Below are 19,190 nucleotides of genomic sequence, written 5' to 3'. Positions count from 1 at the left end.
TGCCTGGCATATAATAGGTGTTTAATACATATCTGTTGACCAAATGAACTAATGAATGAACATGGATCTATTTTCCACCATCTAAGAGCACAGAGCCTAAAAAGACACTACACAGATGACCAAAAGCAGAAGGCTGACAGCGTTAGGCAGTAGAAAGCTGGCCGAGTTTCATTTCATAAGATGATTGATTCGATTACTATTGTTGTTCCATTTTGGGACCACGAGCAGGTGAGATGCTTCAAAGCCCTTCATGGGAACATGCATCCATACACGTGGTTTCTAAAGAAACACCATTCTACTCTTTAGTACATTATGTTATTGCTATGGAAACAGCGATATTTTAAAGAACACTGGAACTTTCCAAATACAGTATTTATTCTTCTTGTACTAGCAAAATAATGTGTTTCGCCTAAGAACTTGTTAGGTGCCCTGCAGCTAAATATAAAGAGACAGATTCTCATCATGTGTAAGTCTAGGGAAAAATTTGGACCACCAGCTTTTCGAGATACATTTTAAAATAAACTCTGCAAAACTCTAGACATAATTGGGGCCTTCAATGAAACACTTAATATGTTAGATTTGTTTCTGAGTTAGAAAAACTATTTATATTTGAACCCCAGTAACACCCTGTGCAGAATTACAAGCTGGCATTGCCTTTGGACTTCCAGAAGACCAACTTTACTTCTTTCTTTTTCCTTACTTCATCCATACCTGCATCAGTGTTCAGCTGGCTATGTGGTCCTACCTTTCTTGTACAGATGTCACTTTTTTTTTTTTTTTGACGGAGTCTCGCACTGTTGCCAGGCTGCAGTGCAGTGGCGTGATCTCGGCTCCCTGCAACCTCCACCTCCCGGGTTCAAGCGATTCTCCTACCTCAGCCTCCTGAGTAGCTGGGATTACAGGCGCCTGCCACCACACCTGGCTAATTTTTGTATTTTTAGTAGCGAGGGGGTTTTACCATGTCAAGAGACAAGGTTCTCCATCTCTTGACCTCTTGATCTGCCCACCTCAGCCTCCCAAAGTGTTGGGATTACAGGCGTGAGCCACCACGCCCGGCCCAGATGTTACATTTTAACCAAGAGGTTATGAGACAAAGCACGAACCCGTACCTAGGCTTTGACAGCAAAAGAGAGAAAGGGCACTAAATAGGATTAGATGAGTGTTATCAAAGTGCCACTCAATGCTAGTTCACATACATGGAAATTCAGTATCATTAATAATATCCACTCGTACAATTTTGCCTTCTAACTGATCTATTTTTAAAGCAAACCTAGATAGATGCATTTTTAAAATCTGCTGATAAGAAATTAGGAGCAATATGTTAAGATGTACATTCCCAGCATTGTAGTGATCATAATTTCTCCCTTCTATTATGTGCAAAATTGATAGCGTTTTAACGTTTGTTTTTAGTTTCAGTCATTCATGTGCCTCTTCTTCCCTAGTGATGGAAAGAACACAGACTTGGAGTCAGCGAGACCTAGGTTTGCCTTCCGCCTTTGTCGCGTGAGAGCTGTTTCCCTGGAGCAAATTTCCACCTCCTTCAGCTTCACTCAGTTTCCATCTCACAGAGTTGCCCTGAGGACTAAATGAGAACACATATGAAGGACCTAAAACAGGTCTCAGTAAACATGAATTTTCTTCTTTTCCCTGAAATTATAAAATAACCATTGCATATCTTTTTATTTTTGTCAGCCTGTAAAGTGCAAGGGTCTTTGAAACTTTCAGCAGTTGAAAGATTTTAGAATCATGTTTCCATGGACATAGTTCACTTTAACCAAACAATTCTCCTGATAGTAATTTTAGCTCAGGTAAAAGATAAACACTCATTTGACAAAATGTATTGCTCATATTTTTATAATTTGTAAAGATGTGTCATCTTCTAAGCAAGAGATCAAAGGACTTTACAGGTAAAACATACTTGCAATCTGTAAGGATATAGTTAACTATTGTATTTAATTGATAGGTAAACTACCTTGCATATTCTGTCTACCTTCATGAATGGTGAGTATGTGGTAAACGTACCCCACTCTCCTCTTCTGCAACCTTACTAGCTGTCACAAGTTGACCACAACACCATTTCCTGTTGATCCCCCAAATTTTCAGTACAGTACTCCAAGCAGCCACCACCAAGCAGGAGTTGGTTTATTAGTTTAAATCTATCTATCTTCCTTGAGTTAGACTGTTTTCCAAGTGCTGGCTACATTAAAGATGTATTTACATAATAGAACCCAAAGGTTTATTTGCATACCTCTTTTCTATTGAGTTTTAATGTATTTACATAATAGAACCCAAAGGTTTATTTGCATACCTCTTTTCTATTGAGTTTTAGGATATCTTTGAAAATTTACTTATTCAGCTTTTTAAATTGGGCCAGGCACAATTAAATTCCCAATACACTAACCCCCGGAGAGAAATGATTTCCTGAAAATTCTTCCTCCCTCCTATTCAGAGAAAATAATATGCACCCAGTTCTCCAAGAGCTCTCTCCACCCCAGCACTGGGCCCCATCTTTCTACTTACCGCATTTTACCTTTGCTCCCATCTCCTCCTGCCTGCTCCATGACCTGGCTCCATCAAGTTTCTGCCTTCTGTCTCTATCTTTAGTGTTCCCTTCTGATCTTCTCCCACTCAGATTTCATAGGAAATTACCATCCTATCTGGCTCCTCCATCACCAACACATGATTCCTGATGTCAGCTGACCCTCAGGGCTGCCCCACACTTCTACATAACCACAGTTGGTTCTGTTCTCCATCCACTTCATCAGAGCTTCTAAATCTTCTCAGCCTCCACCTCCTGGCTCCTTTGACTCAACAGGAGCCAACCTGTCATAGAGAACTATGGGTGCATTAGGTGTGGACTATCTCCGCTGCCCTGAGCTCTGCCTGTTCCTCTGCATCTACTCGTCTTGGCTTGGCCTCAACTTCTTCCTTAATGAGGTCTCTGCCTCCCCTTGGCCCCTGTGTCCCTCATCTTATCCCAAACACTATGCCATTATTTTCCTACCTCTCGCCTGACACACCTTTGCAATCTTTTCTTGCATGAATTCCCTTGAACCTAGAAATGAGACCAAGAGAATTCCTCACAAAAATAAACTAGCAAGCAAGCAATAACAAAACGGAAAAAAAATAGAACTTAACACTGCCAAAATGCTTGGAGTTTCACATAAAAATGTGGGCTTCATCTCACCTCTATGTGCTTTCCATCTTGCTCGCTCTCCCTGGGGTAAAATTTTACCTATTTCTTTGCATCCAAATGCTGCCCACTCTTTTTTTTTTTTTTTTTGACAGGGTCTTGTTCTGTTGCCCAGGCTGCAGTGCAGTGGTGCAATCACAGCTCACTGCAGCCTTGACCTCCTGTGCTCAAGCAATCCTCCCACTTCAGCCTCCCAAAGTGCTGGGATTACAGGCATGAGCCACCACACCTAGTGTCTGCCCACTCTTTAAGACTCAAATCAAATTTATTTTCCTTCCCAACATTCATCCCCAAATGCAAATAGCCACCTGCTTCCCTGGACTTCAGTAGCAACCTATGCCTCTCTTACTGACCTCATCTCTTTTTTCTTCTTTGTATCGCAATTACCGATACATCTGATCTCATTACTGCTGGAAGTTAAAATAAGTTCCACAGAGTGCCCAAAATCGTGATTATAGATAGTAGGTACTTACTTAGCAATGGCCACTTTAGAGGGGCGAGAAATCTGATGCACAAAAGCCTTAGCAACATACCTTAAATCACGAAGCTTGCAAGTGGCAAGGTTGCCACCAATTTTAGTGTTCTTTCAACTCCTTATACACAACATTCTGCTTCAATCGGATCACTATTATACAACTTCTGTGCTCTGTAGCAAGTTTCTTTGAATATCTGCCTTCTGAAGACTTTTCAGTTGATTTCATGTTGCACACAGTAGGAGCTAAATCATTGTTGAATGAATCAGTAAGTGAACAAGTTTGGGATGGTGATATTCATAAAGCTTAAATTTGTTATGGGTTAAAAAAAAAACAATCAGAAGTGTTTGGAGAGTGGGAACATCGGGGAGGGTAACATTGCTCCCTGCCGGCGGCATGCTCATGGGAGCCAAGTGTGCTGTTTGCTGTGGACCCTCGGACTGCTGATAAGCAGTTGTCCCTCAGCCCAACCACAAGGCTCCATTCTCTTTTGTTTTGCTACATTTCCATATTTAGGATTTTGACAATTTAACATATTTTTAAAAATTTAACATAAATGCCATTTCCCCTGAAATCTAGCTGTCAAATTCTGATTCTTAAGGTTAAAGATAAAAAAAATTATCAGTCATAAGGAAAATTATTCGATGATTTATTTCAGCCCCCAAATTTCACACCAAGGAAGCATCTACCGATGTTGAGCCAGGAGATCAACTCCAGATGATTAAAGAAAACTGCTCAAGGACATTTTGTTAGCTACTTTTCATAAGGTCAGGTAGAACATAAATTCCAATATATGCACAGCTGGGGGCAACCCTGCCGAAGAGAATTTGGGTGGCTTTGTTGCTTTTCGTGTTATTTATAGTAACTGATGTTCACCTGGATCTAAGTTTTATTCTCTTTGGCAATGATAGGATTATGTAAAAATCCTATAGCACCACAGGTATTCTTGGGAGATCAAAGTACAACCCATGGGTAATAAGCAGTTTGCAAGTGCTGAGGAATGTACACTTTGTTATTGGATGGGACAATTTGTGATTCTGAATAGGGCCGGTGAAAACATTCACTTCAACCCAGAAGAAGATTCTATTATGCAAAGAATGTAAGAGCTCTATTGCACCTTTAACAAAAAAAAAGAGGTTTAGTAGCAGATAACCACACTCCAACAAGAAAAGAAGAGTGTTAGCCCTCAGCAGAATTTTTCAGTAATTGCTTCACCGAAAAGGCTCTAAATAATCACGTAAAGGTAAACTGAAAGATATAAAGGAATGATTGAGCACATTTAGGTGGGGCAGCTAATGCCTGGTTGTGTTTGTTTCTTATTCCTCACTGAAAAACAGGAGTTGTGTTTCATATCTGTGAGAAGGAGCTATAGGACTCCATACAGAGATTAAAATACATCATAATTGCTTCAGTCAAATGAGCATACTTTATATATAAAAAGGACCTGTAAGTATAATTTAGGCAGTTTTGCATGGAAATGAAGTATCAGTTACAACTCCAGTTTCCAACTACCTTATACAAATTGCCTCCCCAAAATGGATATTTTAATCTCTAATTTATTAAAAGATGAAATGTTGGAATGTTGGATAGATTGAAATCATTTGTCAGATCACGAAGTCCTCATAACATTTCTCAGCCTTAATAACACATCTGCTCTTAGAATGTGGTCTCTTGATAATAGCTGTCTGAAAGTGTCTGAATTTAGGGATTATTTGAGACAACAGATTTCCTTCTATTTGGAATTGAATGAGGCATCTGCTCCCTCACCGTTAGCTTTGTGTGATAGTCTCAAGGCATTCATAAAAGGGCAGATCATTTTGAACATTATAAGAGGGAAAAAAGACCTCTGTTGACAATATGAGATTCAGAAAGAGGAATTAAGAAACTTTAAGGGTTGTATTTTATGTTTAAAAATGTTATTCCATAGTCTGTTTTGCAATCTGGAGAGAACATGGTAGCTAGAACTAGAGTAATGCAATCCTCCAAAACCAACAATTTAGAAAAAACGTTCATAGAACGCTAAGTAGAAACTCACAAATTTTTATCTAATTTGATTCAGTACAACCAACAGAACTCAGTGGAAATGGACAACCGTGATCATTCCAAAGACCATATGCCAAATGAAGTGTCCAACTGCAAGACTAGACTAAACTGAATGAAAAATACTACATAAAAATTACCTTCTCCATTTCACTTGCAAGAGAAAATACTCCAAAAGAGGAAACCATAGCAAAACCTTTCTGCAAGTTCAAGGACTAACTACAGATACAAAGAAATGCAGGTGAAGCGCTCAAACAACTTTGAAGGATCTTGACTGATAAGGAAGAAGCCAGGATTAGGCTTTTTTAATTTTGTAATTTTAATTACAAACTTACCATTTATATTTGGGCAGATTCATTTCTACATGATCGTGTTGCCCTTTTATTTCTACACACCCACAAAAATATTCTTTACATTTAGAAAAAAGTAAAAGGAAAATTTGCATGTCATCATCCTACAGATAGCTTCACAGATGGCATTAATGGATTCATATCAACAATGAGAAAACATTTTTGCTTATCAAGCTACACTCTTCCATGAATTAGCCCATATTACATGCACATATACAAACATATACACAAATAATACATAGATTAAATATAAAATGGCATTTTTACTAGAGTAGATCCTCAGATTGTATAACTGTGTGAACAGGAGTATAATCAAAAAACATAAAAATTGAGCCTTCCCTGAAAAAATACAGCTGTCGTATCACTGACCACATAGGACAACACACAGACATTTTGGAATAACCAAAGGTGTTATGAGAAACACCTCCCCAATTGTCTTCTGTTTTCTCAGGGTGTCCTTATTGATCTTTCTGTTCCATTTGACACCACTGACTACCCTCCCTTTGGGAACCTTTTTGCCTTTGGACTTTCTGTGACGCTATTATATCTTGGTATCTCTTGGACAATTCTTCCCTGAATGCAGATGCTTTTCCTCCCCAGAGGAGTTCTCAACGGGCCGGGGTTGGAGGGTCAGAAAACATATTCTGTTTAGATATGTGTGGGGCCTTTTCCAGTTGTCCCAGTGATTGGAGGGTACTGCTGACATTTAATGGGTGGAGGAGGTGGGGAAAGGGGATAGGAGCAAAAACTTAAATTGTCCTGTGGGATATATGGAACAGTTCCATATGACAAACACATGTTATGCCAAAACATAAACAGCGCTACCCTCTTAGGAAACACTGAGTGTGCAAACCAATTCTTGACCTCTTGTCCGTTATTTCTGAGCCCCTACTCTTGAGCTCTTTGCCTCAACTGGGGTCAAATCTCCCCTGTACACACAAGAGCCCCAAATGTGGCTCTCCCGCTTCTTCCTTCAGTGCTATTCCACGCCCTTCATTCACTTCAGTTACTGCCAAGATCTCGTGGGTAGTGGAGACTCATCTCCACCCAGAAGGTGGGCAGATGTCTAACATTTTTTGCTTCCTTTTTTCTCTTTTATCACCATATCGAAATGATTGGGTTCTGCACATTCTTTTTGTCTATAACTGCTTTTGGAAATGTTTATTTTCCATTCCCTACCCTTCAACCCTTCCTACACGCTGTTGCTGCAGTTGTCCTTTTGGGATACTCCCCACTGTTTTTGGTAATTCACTGTGACAAATCTTGCCTATCAGTTCTCGTAGGTTGAGACTCAGGTTATGACTGCTCATCCCACTCTTAATGACTTCCACATCTCTTTCTCCATTTCACCTTTTATCTTTTCTTTTCTTTCTTTTTTTTTTTTTTTTTGAGATGGAGTCTTGCTCTGTCTTCCAGGCTGGAGTGCAGTGGTGCGATGCAACCTCTGCCTCCCAGGTTCAAGCGATTCTCCTGCCTCAGCCTCCCGAGTAGCTGGGATTACAGGTGCCCACCAACATGCCAAGCTAATTTTTGTATTTCTAGTAGAGACAGGGTTTCACCATGTTGCCGAGGATGGTTTCAAACTCCTGACCTCAAGATCCGCCCGCCTCAGCCTCCAAAAGTGCTGGGATTACAGGCGTGAGCCACCACACTCAGCTCACCTTTTATCTTTTAACATCCCCTTACCTGGATCTCTATCCTAGCCAAGCTTCTCTGCCTAACAGAATTATGTGAGTTTTTCATTCTTCTATCAGTACCTTGGTAACTATCTCTAATGCACTAGCCTCCTTTCCTCCATCTCCTCTCCCTCCTCACTTACAGGCTCCATGTGGAGCCATGACAGAACCTGAGAAAGAAAGGGAAAAACCAGTAATATCAACCCTGTCTTTCTTCAACATTTTGACATGTTGCTCATTATTGATTTTTTGTATTAGTTGTGATTTTCAAAACTCTTGTGTTCAAATATGCCTAATATGACTCCTGAGTTTTTTGGCACCGTTTTAAATTCGGCACCAGATGCAAATGCTTCCTTTGCCTCTCCCTCTTCCTAGCCCTGCACAGAAGTGCAGCTCCCTCGCCTCCCATTCTGCTCCTAAATGGCGTCTCTGATGAAGACCTTCAGTGTTGACAGCCCCCTTGCTCTGCAGTTTCAGCACTGATCTAATCCTTGTCTGCTGTCAAGTATCCTGGGGGTGTACGTTGCCATGGGAGAGTTCTTGTCATCCACAGGGGTAGGGCATTTTGTCCCTCTCTCTATGATCAAGGTTCCCATGCTGTGCTTGCCACAGGGCTAAATATCTCACCCTCCACTCAGTGGGTGCTTAATAAAGAAATCCACGTGCATCACAGAATACAAGAGCTGGACAGTGATTGAAACCTCAGATAAGATATCAAGATGCAATAATGAGAATGTCGACCTTCAAGAACACAAGAGAAACAGACGAGCCAAAAAAATTTTAAAAAACCTACTCATTGATTTCACTATTATTTTGCTTTAAAAATTGTCTGTGAATAGGTTAGATGTCACTTGTCAAGAATCCTGGAAGGACAGAAATAGAAAAGTGAAATGGGCACTGGCACCGTTAGTGGGTTACGGTCTCTGGGAGGTGTCTGAGCACCCCCTGGGTCCTGCTGGGCCACCGCGCATTTGTTACTTTACAACTGCCATTCCCAACTGCCGGGGGGACCCTCTCGGTTCAAACAGTCCATCTCTTTCACAGTGAAAAAGAGTCGAAACAGCTCCTCCTACCTCCGCACGAAAACACATGGCTATCAAATAACAAGGTTAAGTATTTCTGAAGCATGTGGCAGAATACATTAGTTTCATCTCACTGGAGAAAGAAGACGTACCATGTTTGAAGACAGGCACATGGGAATCCGAGGGTGGGGCTTTAGGAACTGAACAGGATTTGGTGACACAGTTTTGAAAAGGAGTAGAATCAGATATTCGGACTCTTGAACTTCATGCTTTGGAAAGTTCTGCTCTCTGCCCCTCTCCCGACAGCATGTAAATAAGTTCTGATATTCAGAGACTGGGCAGCTGGGAATCTCGGTCAAACCTGCTGCCTTTCTCCTCAGCATCCTTTATCTCTTTCCTCCTCACTCACTTTCCATTCAGCGACTCCCCTCTCCTTTCCCACCCAAATCCCCTTCCTCACACCTAGATAACAGATAACAGCCCTAATGGTTCCAGAGCAAAAATTCAATAAGCTTGAGAGCAATAAATGATTCTTTGGTATGGCTGCTTTTCTTAATAGTTTCAATGTAGGATACTTTTTATGCAGAGCAGACACAGAAATTATACAGGACCTGTTTCAGACTCTTCTAAAATGCAGTAACTTTTCTTAAGATTTGATTATTTTGAACATTAGACATGTGGCCAAAGAAATACAGGAACAGGAAAAGACAGATTAGTAAACATGAATTCCATTGCTGTTACTCTGGGACACACTGAGGGTAACTACCCAGTTCCAATTGGGTTATTCAAAAGAGACATTAGATTGTCCAGTTTTTGTAAAAGACAGCAGATTTAGGTGAGATTCCTCAGAGCTACCCAGGATGCTGGGGGGAGGGGAGGCTCTCCCTGGGTCTCTCCCCTCCCAGAAAGGCATCTCCCCTGGGCTATTAGCTCACTGGATCTACTGGCATCTGCAGAACTTCTAGCACAAAAAACTTTTTAATTTACCAAACAAATAATAACCAGTAGCTGGTAAGCATTCTTGTATCATCAATATTTGAAAACCCAAAAAGGAAGACATTCGAAAATCGTTATATATCTGTCCAAACAATATTTTATGTTTTCTGACCTCTAAGTGACAACATTTCAAAAGACCAGTGTGAAGTACGGATGTCAGTCTGGTAAGCTCAGATATTATAAGAAAATATGTGGAATGTGTTTTATGGAAACGTAAATAATATGTATATAGATTAAAAGGAAGGAGGAGCATACAACCCAAGGAGATTACAAGAGTTTTAGGAACATCAAAGAATAACACAAGAGAGTGTATTAGTTTCCTGTGGCTGCTGTAACAAACTACCCCCCTACCATCTGGTGGCTTAAAACAACTGAACTTATTTGCTCAGAGTTCTGGAGGTCAGAAGTCCAAAAATAAGTATGACTGGGTTGAAATCAAGGTGTCGACACCAGCCACATTCCCTCCACAGGCTATAGGGGTGAACCTGTCCTTTGCCTCTCCTGGTTTTGAGTGGCTACCACCATCCATTGTCTTATGGCTGCATGGTCCCAATCTGCCACCGTGGTCACTTCACCTCCTCCTCTTCCATCTGTATCAAATCTCTCTCTACCTCCCTCTTAGAAGAACACTTGTGATTATATTTAGGCCCCACCAGGACAATCTCCCCATCTCAAGATTCTTAACTTAATCACACGTGCCGAGTCCCTTTTTCCATGTGAAGCAACATTTACAGGTCCCAGGGATTAGGACCTGAGAATTGTGTGGGCGATTATTCTGCCTACTAACCATAGGAGGCTCAGACATGGGATGACTTACTGGGCCACGTTCACAGAGGGAGGTGAGGAACAAAGGAAAGATAGTCTTCTTTCTTAGGGATGAAACAAGTGGAGCTACTTAACTTCCACTTTGCTTCTAGTTTTTCCTAGAGGGAGAATGGTCTTCACATTTGAAATGGTTGAACTCATACCCTTGACAGACAGTTAAAGATCAAGTTGAGGTTGGGTGCAGTGGCTCACGCCTGTAATCCCAGCACTTTGGGAGGCCCAGGCGGGTGGATCACTTGGGGCCAGGAGTTCTGGACCAGCCTGGCCAAAACAGTGAGACCCTGTTTCTAATGAAAATACAAAAATTAGCCTAGACGTGGTGGCAGGTGCCTGTAATCCCAGCTACCAGGGAGGCTGAGGTGGGAGGATTGGTTGAACCCAGGAGGCGGAGGTTGCAGTGAGCCAAGTTCGTGCCACTGCACTCCAGCCTGGGTGACAGAGCAAGACTCAGTCTCAAAAAAAAAAAAAAAAAAAAAAAAAAAAAGAATTATTAAACACAGATTGTGAATAATGTGAGATCACACCAAGTTTAGAAAGGATCTCTAAAAAGGCTGGAATTTAGGCCCCCAAACCTGTTGTACAAGTACAGGGTAAATATTAATAGAAATATATGTGAAACAAAATAAAAATGAAAACATAAAGCTTTGAGCCTACTTCAAGATTAATACAAGTCAGCATTATGCTCTAGCCAAAGGAAAATGTTGTCATTGCTGACTGTTCCAATCATAGAAGTAGAGTGTCCTAATTATGGGAATAATAAAAATTGTGGCAAACATGTTAGAGTGGAGAGAACACGAGTCAAGTTGACCTTGGTGACATGAGCAAATTACTTACAATTTCTATGGTTTTCTTTACTTACCTATACTACACAAGTCTTCAAGGGTTAGTATGAGGAATAAAATAAATAAAGAATTAAGGGTCCGGCACAGGGTAAGTTTTAAATAATGTGAGTTCACTTCTTCCTTTCTCCTCCTTTTGTTTCTACTGTAAAAGGCCAATAATGGATGAACAGTGAGTTAATTTAATTCTGATCCCCACATTTTAAGGAATACAATGGCAAACTATGGGCACAGCCATGGGAAGGGTGCTAGATTGGTGAAGTGGCTAGAAACTACGTCTCATAGTGATAAAAATATCTTACGTTTTCATAACATCTGACAATTTTCAGAGGGTTTGATTCCCCAAAACAATACTACCAGGTAAACAGACAAGTGTAAAAATGCCATCTTATACATGAATCTATAAATGACCAGAGCAATTAAGTGGCCCACCAAAGGTCACATAGATCATTCGCAGCAATAGGACCCAAATGCAAGTTTACTGAGCCCTCACCTAGCCGTTTCCTCTTTCTTACAAGCAGTGCTGGAGGGATTGGGAAATATTATTCTGGGGACGCCTAAGGGAAGATGTGATAACTTTCTTAATATATTAGCAGGATTATCCTGTAGTAAAGGGAATAGACTACTCCCTCCAACATAGAGACCGGGATTCATCGGTGGAAATTACAGCCAGACCAACTTTGGCTCAACATCAGGGGGAGCTTTGGAACCACTCGTGGTAAGCTGTAATAGGCTCAGGTTGACTAGTGAGATATTCAGGAATGCAGAGAAGGGCTGCCTGCATCAGGGTATCAGTTACACTAGACCCATTCATTTATTCCAATGTTAAACAGAATTATTGAGCAAAACACTGTGCTGGGCATTGTAGGAGATGGAGAGATCATTAAGATGTTGTTTCCAACTATGCAGCTCACCTCAAATGCCCCCTACAACTTTAGAAATCATATGAGGGTTTGACATTTTTATTCAAACAGATTTTTAAGACATTTGGGAAAACACAATTGGCATCAACAGTGGAGACTTCAACAACTGACAGAATGATGCTTATACCCACCTAAATGCTGCCTTATTTTCCAATACCGAAAGGACATGTGGACAAGTGTGCATGGCCCTGGAGCACTGTGTTCACCTTTCTAAGCTAGAAACCGACACCGTGACAGGGTGATGAGTGTTTTCTCTCTCTCCGTTCTTCTGAGAGAAGTCATTCTGCTTATTCTTGTTCAGTCTAGAATGGTAGCTGTAATTTGGAAGGAGGTCAGGTCAGTATCTCTAATTCTGCCTGTCTTTGAAATTGTTAAAATGTAACCATGTGCTATTCTAAAGCATTTCAATATTTGCATTTCTAATTCCTATAAATTATAAGCATTTATTTTATGAAACTTGGAAAGATCACTATTTGTCTCGAATTATACCAGTTTTGCCGGCATCACACCAGAACACAGAATTGTAGAACATATGAGATAGAAACCTGACACTCAGTTCTCTGCGATGTGTTAAACAGAGAAAGAAAAATAGTACTGCTGTATAAAAAGCTGGATAATCAGTCTCAAACCTCAAATTATAAGATTAAATCAATAAAGAAAACAATGGAAAGCGTACACTACATCAGAACTGCTGAAGAGAGTCTCAGGGGCGTGATGGAGAGTTGAGTAAGGCAATCAAAGCAAACGTTCTTAACTTGCTGCCGAATGTCTAATCTGGATTAAAAATGGGTTTGCTCAAAACCATTGCTCATGTATATTTCTCTTAAAATAGCATGTTGAAGTATGTTTTGAGTGTTTGGAAATTGTTGCTATTGTTTCTTTAAAAAAAACAGACTGGCACTTAATGGCACATAGAGAATAATATTTTTCAATGATTGAAAGTAAAGAAGAAAGACAATAATAATCTTTTCCAGCAAATGAGTTTTACAAGCTAGCCCTACTCGTCCACAAGCAATTTCCAGCCCACAAGATTTTCCCAGGCCTTCTCACATTTTTTTTTAGTTTCAAAATAATGATGCATCTGGTGACAGCATGCCATCAGAGCCTTAAGAAATCACCAAAAACAGCTCCCTGGATCAGAGTTCCAAATTTTATCAAAATTCTTACTTCCCACAGACTGATTTATCACTGATATGATCTCCCCAAGACCCTGTCTCTCCCAAAGAATGCGGACCTATGATGAATCACTAATTAAAATAGACCTTGAATTCCTCATTCAACTGCTGCATGCATAGAGATTTCTTCTTTGATTAATGGTTACTTTAAGAAGTAAAGATTTAAAACCTTGTTTCCAAAAATTATTATTTCATTTCTTTATGGCTTAAAATAGAAGCGAACTACAACTTTAAGGGCTTGTGAATGATTTAAAAATTTGCTTCCAGCCAGACGCAGGCTCACGCCTGTAATCCCAACACTTTGGGAGGCCAAGGTGGGTAGATCAACTGAGGTCAGGAGTTCGAGACCAGCCTGGCCAACACGGTGAAACCCCGCCTCTACTAAAAATACAAAAATTAGCTGGGTGTAGTGGCAGGTGCCTGTAATCCCAGCTACTCAGGAGGCTGAGGCAGGAGACTCTCTTGAACCTGGGAGGCAGAGGTTGCAGTGAACTGAGATTGTGCCACTGCACGCCAGCCTGGGCGACAAAGCTAGACTTCATCTAAAAAATAAAATAAATAAATAAAATTTAAAAAAATTGCATTCTCTATAGGAGCTACAGAAAAAAGGGTCATTTTTTTTTTCTCTTTTCAATGGCTTTACAGGACAGAGTCTTGTACCTCCGGAATAGGAAAAAGACTGTTCTAATTGTATTTAATTAACAAATACTAAATTAGGATACAATCCTCTTCCTTGATTCATGCCCTTCCTTCCAGTACTCATTTCTCATCTAAACTGTAATCTTGAGGTTAAAAATGATGGCATCTCACCCAGTTTCAACTCCCAGTCTTCTTTCTGAGTCTGCAAATATTTGGCTGTCATGGTCTCAAATGACTTATTGCTAGAAGAATGTAATGCCAGAAGACTATTTAGAATTGTAATGGTTACAGAATCCTAGAGGGAAGGAATTCTGCATCCTCCCTGTGGGTCTTCACTTCTGTTGAAAGGAAAATCTATCCTATGTGTTAAAGGGCTCCAGCGAAACAGATTCTGTCATTTTCCTTGAAGACACATTCCTGTGTCTCACAACTACCTATATGGGAAAATATTTTATGTATTTAAACTGAATCCTTCCTATTCCAGAAGACATCCATTTATTTCCCTCCCTGGGAATGTTGAAGAATAGTCTGTTACTGTCCTCTGCATAACAGTCCTGGGCCCTGGAAAGCGGGAATCACCTTGCCCTGCCTTTCTCTCTCCTTCATGTCATTTAGTCTTCCCCCACTGTCCTGAGCAAATACTCCCATTACAGATGATTTGCTTCAAAATCTATACTCCATGATTGCCTACTTTAAGAAATCTGAACTAAGTATTTTAATGTTTAGCACAGCAATCCTCTTTTAGGTATTGGGCCTGGGCCCGTTTTCTCACTGTGGCTTCAGTAGCTGTACCATCGTGAGCAAGTCGCTTACTAAAGTGGAACTAATAACGCATTCCACAGAAGTTAGTTGAGAAAACTCAGGGAGATAATGCGCAGAAAATGCTTAGTTCATTGGCTAGTACACAGTAAGTCTTTAATAAATGTTAGTTTAATTTTACATCAGTAACTTATCTGCTTGGTTATAAAATCCATAAACTTAGATGTTGGGCTGTTATAAACTTGGGGAATCACCATGGGCTGGAAAGTTGGCCTCTTGTATGTATCTTTAACACTCATGTGATATCTAAGTTAAGATTTAATATTGGTTGACACCAAGCCTGACCCTTTTTGGTACCTGAATCACTTTGTAATAACATGATGAGCACCAACAGAAGCCTAGTACCTTGGATAGGTTTAAGTGGACAGAGGTTAAAAAGATCCAAGAAATGTCTCATTCATGATTAATTTTACTTACAGATTTGGACTTTCTAGGGTAAGTCTTTGCAAATGTTTTTCTCATTTATTGCTAAATATCAACATTTTCTTTAACCCATCTGGAGGAGGGTAAGGGTTGACAGCGTCCCTGACCAAATCCAGAAGAGACTATTAGGATGTAGTCCAAAACACAAGATTCAAAGAAAGGGTTGATAGGGCAGGAGCGTGGTTACAGTGAGACGGTGTTCAGGACGCAGGTGAGATTCATTGCTGTGAGCAGCCTCACTTTGAGCTGGGTCCTGATTTGGGCAGGGAGCTCAGAAAAATGAGCTGATTAAGAGATGCAAGAAGGGAGAGTTTCAGGAACACAATCACAGGCATCCTATGTGTTGGGGACAGCTTGGCTTACACCCACATCTCAGAGAGGGCTTTGCTCAAAGAAGGTATGCTATTGTGTGCTGAACTGGGAATGGGGAAAACATTGGCCTCAATTACACTTGTACTTTCCAAAGCGTTAGCCATCAGGTGATATTTTTATAAGACTCTCTAGGGTACTTCACATAATCGAAGCACAATACATTGAGTGTGCTAGGAAAGCACCTTAGTTCCCCGTACTGTTGAAGATTCCGCAGTCTTTAAGTTCAGTGGTACTAATGAAGCCTGTCCCGACACAGGGACCACAGATCTTGTTCATATGTGCACAAATGTGGCTAAGAGCAATCAACCACGCCCGACTGCCTTTCCTTACTTCCCCCCTCCCTCCCTCCTCTTTTCTCTCCTTTCCTCATGCAAATATCAAGCAGTTTTGCTCATTCTTTAGTTCTGGATCCTCTACAGATTTTCAAGTATATCTGAAATGCATCCCAATGGTGAGAATCTTAACAGCACAAAATACTTCACATGGGATATTTATTGAGATAAGATGAAAAGGATGTTTCTTAATTTTATTTCTAAAATAGTATAAAATGTATGTACACAAGGCTATAATAGATAAGTAGAAAGAATGATGGGTTGATCTAACTGTAGCTATAGAATCAGAAAGAAAATATTTCTTTTTTAGAGTGATTTCTCAGAATAAGCTTTATACTTTGCAGTATTCACCAATAACGCAGACAAAATTACAAGGTTGACCCTTTTTTTCAATCTATTGCCTCTCACTATATAGGCATTGCCAGAAAAGGAAGAATGTTGGTTCAAACTTTCAAAAAAAAAAAACGATTTCTAAAGGGAAGTTGTACTTTAAATGATTATTAGATGTTCTTTCTAGCAAAACCTTGGCAAATGGGGTAAAATTTGTGATTTGCAGGTAAAATACCAAGAGGTTAGAAGCCTGAATTTTCTACTCACCGGCATCAAATCCTAGTTTTGATGAAAGGCTCCTTTCAAAGTCTCAGGGTCTCATTTCCTAGACTCAGAGACTGTCAGAGCTGGAAGGACCTTGGATGGTCGCTAGTCTCAACCTCTAGTTTTACACTGGGGACCTAGGACCCTCAAGAGAGATAAGTGACTTGTACAAGATCCCCAGTTAGTATTATAATTAGCAGAGCCAGGATTGGAAGGGTGTTCTCCTGAGTCCAAGTTGAATGCTTTTTCTGCTACAACATTGCATCTTCTCTTGACAGAAATGGAACCTGCATCAGAAGAAGTCTCCTGAGAGATGCCATGTGGGTTTTTTTTAAAAGTGTGATGCATTTTTTAATCCACTTTGAGAAAAATGCTGCCAAACTCTTCTCTAGGGAGTAGAGCCTCTATAAGGGGAGGAGGAGATCACAATGAATAATCATTCCTTTAACACCTAGACTGCATCCGAAAGGCCACAACCACCCTGGGGAAGATGATCAGATGTAGAGCATCTGAACTGGGTGAGGGAGAAAAAGACACAGAGAAAAGTGGAGGAACTTAGCAGTCAAGGGATATTGGGGTAGAATTGAAAAGTGAGCAAGACTAGAGAATGGAAGAGGTATAGGTAGTAGAAGAGAGGCTCAGATCTTCTCTATCTATTAGAAATATGATATTTTCTTCATACATATGAAATGTTTTGTTACAGCCGATGAGAGCCCAATAAAGAACTAGATAGATTCCTTTTGTCTATGCTAGGGTATTGGGAATCCAGTCTCTTTTTATGTGTGCGTGCTTTTTAAATTCACTAAACCCTTGGGGAGTAGGGGACAGTCTGGGAGAATACAGGAGTCAGGATAAGGGTCAGATGAAAAGAAAGGCATCAAGAAATGAACAGAATTGAAACATAATGATAGGGTGGGACCAGTGCAAAGTGCTTTGTGCCCAGCTCAGTAGTGAAATGTTGATCAATTTCCCTAAGACTGATAAATTCTGAGGATTACTCCCTGTTTTAGAATAACTTCAATTAGGTTTCCTTTGGTTTACAACAAAAAAAAAGGTAGTTTTAAATTATTCTAAGCCTACAGAATGAGTCTAGGTATACTAAACTTGGTATATGAAAGTTCCCCAATAAGACTTTTAAAAATCATTGTATTTTCCAGATAGTATTAATTATTACAATATCTAGCATATTTCTATACCTGCAGTAGGTGCTGTATAGATAAGCTGCTTTAGGAGCCACCCAAATGTTTGTTGATGAACTTAAGATAGTACACGTGTAATACCAAGTTACTGCTATGCGAATATTCAAGAAGCATTTTTTCCCATGCTTTCCTCTCTAAACACAGTCTCAGAATATAAGAAATCTGATGAGATCTCACATCTAATTGATTTGTTTTTCTTTCTTTTCCCACCAATGTCGAAAAGGATCTTTTCAGCTATTCCCAGGAATCATGTGGTTTGATACTTCCTAAATTTTCCTCTGCACTACCTGAGCACAAAACAATGCAATGATGGGAAAGAACACGTTCTTTCTTTGAATGAAATTCACATTTATTCTGAGAGCAAGACTTCTGGGGTTTGTCTGTGACCCTAATGATGAATCCAAAGACTGTGCAAGAGAAAATAAAAGACAGGTCTTGCTTAAGGGCCTTTCTTACATTCTTGAATGCAGACCATCTGGGTCCCTCCACAGAGAACTGCCTGCTGCCTCTCGCAGAGAAGAGAGCTCCAGCAACCACAGGTGCCTGCAGGTTCCTCAGACTTCCAGAGTGTTCCAGGGAAGGGACTGCTGCTGACGTTGCGCTGCAAGAGCAGTCCTGAGTTTCAACCACATTTTCAGTTATGACTTCTTCAAAAGAGAGCATCTGAAAAACACAAGATCATTTCTACTCACATGAAAACACATTCAACAGAGAAAAAACAAAATCTCTGTCCAGAGACGTGCTTTATTTCCATCCTACATTCGGACAAACCCATTAACACTGCAGGTGGCTTGCGAGGATAGACCCCCAGGCTGAGACAGGCGTATGGCTGAGATTTTCAAAGTTACCACGTCGCGGCCGGGCGCGGTGGCTCACGCCTGTCATCCCAGCACTTTGGGAGGCCGAGGCGGGCGGATCATGAGGTCAGGAGACGAGACCATCCTAGCTAACACGGTGAAACCCTGTCTCTACTAAAAATACAAAAATTAGCCGGGCGTGGTGGCGGGCTCCTGTAGTCCCAGCTACTCGGGAGGCTGAGGCAGGAGAATGGCGTGAACCCGGGAGGCGGAGCTTGCAGTGAGCAGAGATCGCGCCCCTGCACTCCAGCCTGGGCGACAGAGCCAGACTCCGTCTAAAAAAAAAAAAAAAAAAAAAATTACCACATCTTCTCACACTGAGGACTCTTCTAGGAAAAAAAAATGCGAAGGGGGCATCATATTTCATCCAGAAGAAATACCATTCTAGGCAAACATTTTTTGGTTTAAAATTCACCTATGATAAATTTTACTTTATTTCTTTT

General features: G+C 40.6%; 2 long non-coding RNA genes across 4 annotated transcripts; one reads left to right on the top strand and one right to left on the bottom strand.

Annotated features, from left to right (window-relative positions):
- Positions 1–909: 909 nt before the first annotated feature.
- LOC105373260 (uncharacterized) lies at positions 910–9,239 on the bottom strand. Of its 3 annotated transcripts, XR_949340.3 has the most exons (4): positions 8,907–9,239; positions 3,727–3,911; positions 2,521–2,836; positions 1,063–1,582 (listed from the first exon to the last, which is right to left on the bottom strand). It is a non-coding gene; the product is annotated as an uncharacterized LOC105373260 (long non-coding RNA). The 3 variants fall into 3 exon arrangements; XR_949339.3 differs by lacking the exon at positions 2,521–2,836 and having other exon boundaries at positions 910–1,582; XR_949341.4 differs by lacking the exons at positions 2,521–2,836; positions 8,907–9,239 and adding an exon at positions 8,526–8,686.
- LOC105373261 (uncharacterized) lies at positions 8,771–18,876 on the top strand. Its single transcript, XR_949342.3, has 3 exons — positions 8,771–8,840; positions 12,011–12,132; positions 18,114–18,876. It is a non-coding gene; the product is annotated as an uncharacterized LOC105373261 (long non-coding RNA).
- The last annotated feature ends 314 nt before the right edge of the window (positions 18,877–19,190 follow it).

Source organism: Homo sapiens, chromosome 1 (assembly GCF_000001405.40).
Source record: "Homo sapiens chromosome 1, GRCh38.p14 Primary Assembly".
Lineage (NCBI taxonomy): Eukaryota > Metazoa > Chordata > Mammalia > Primates > Hominidae > Homo > Homo sapiens.
The sequence above is the reverse complement of the archived record's forward strand: the minus strand, read 5'-3'. Positions and strand labels throughout refer to the sequence as shown.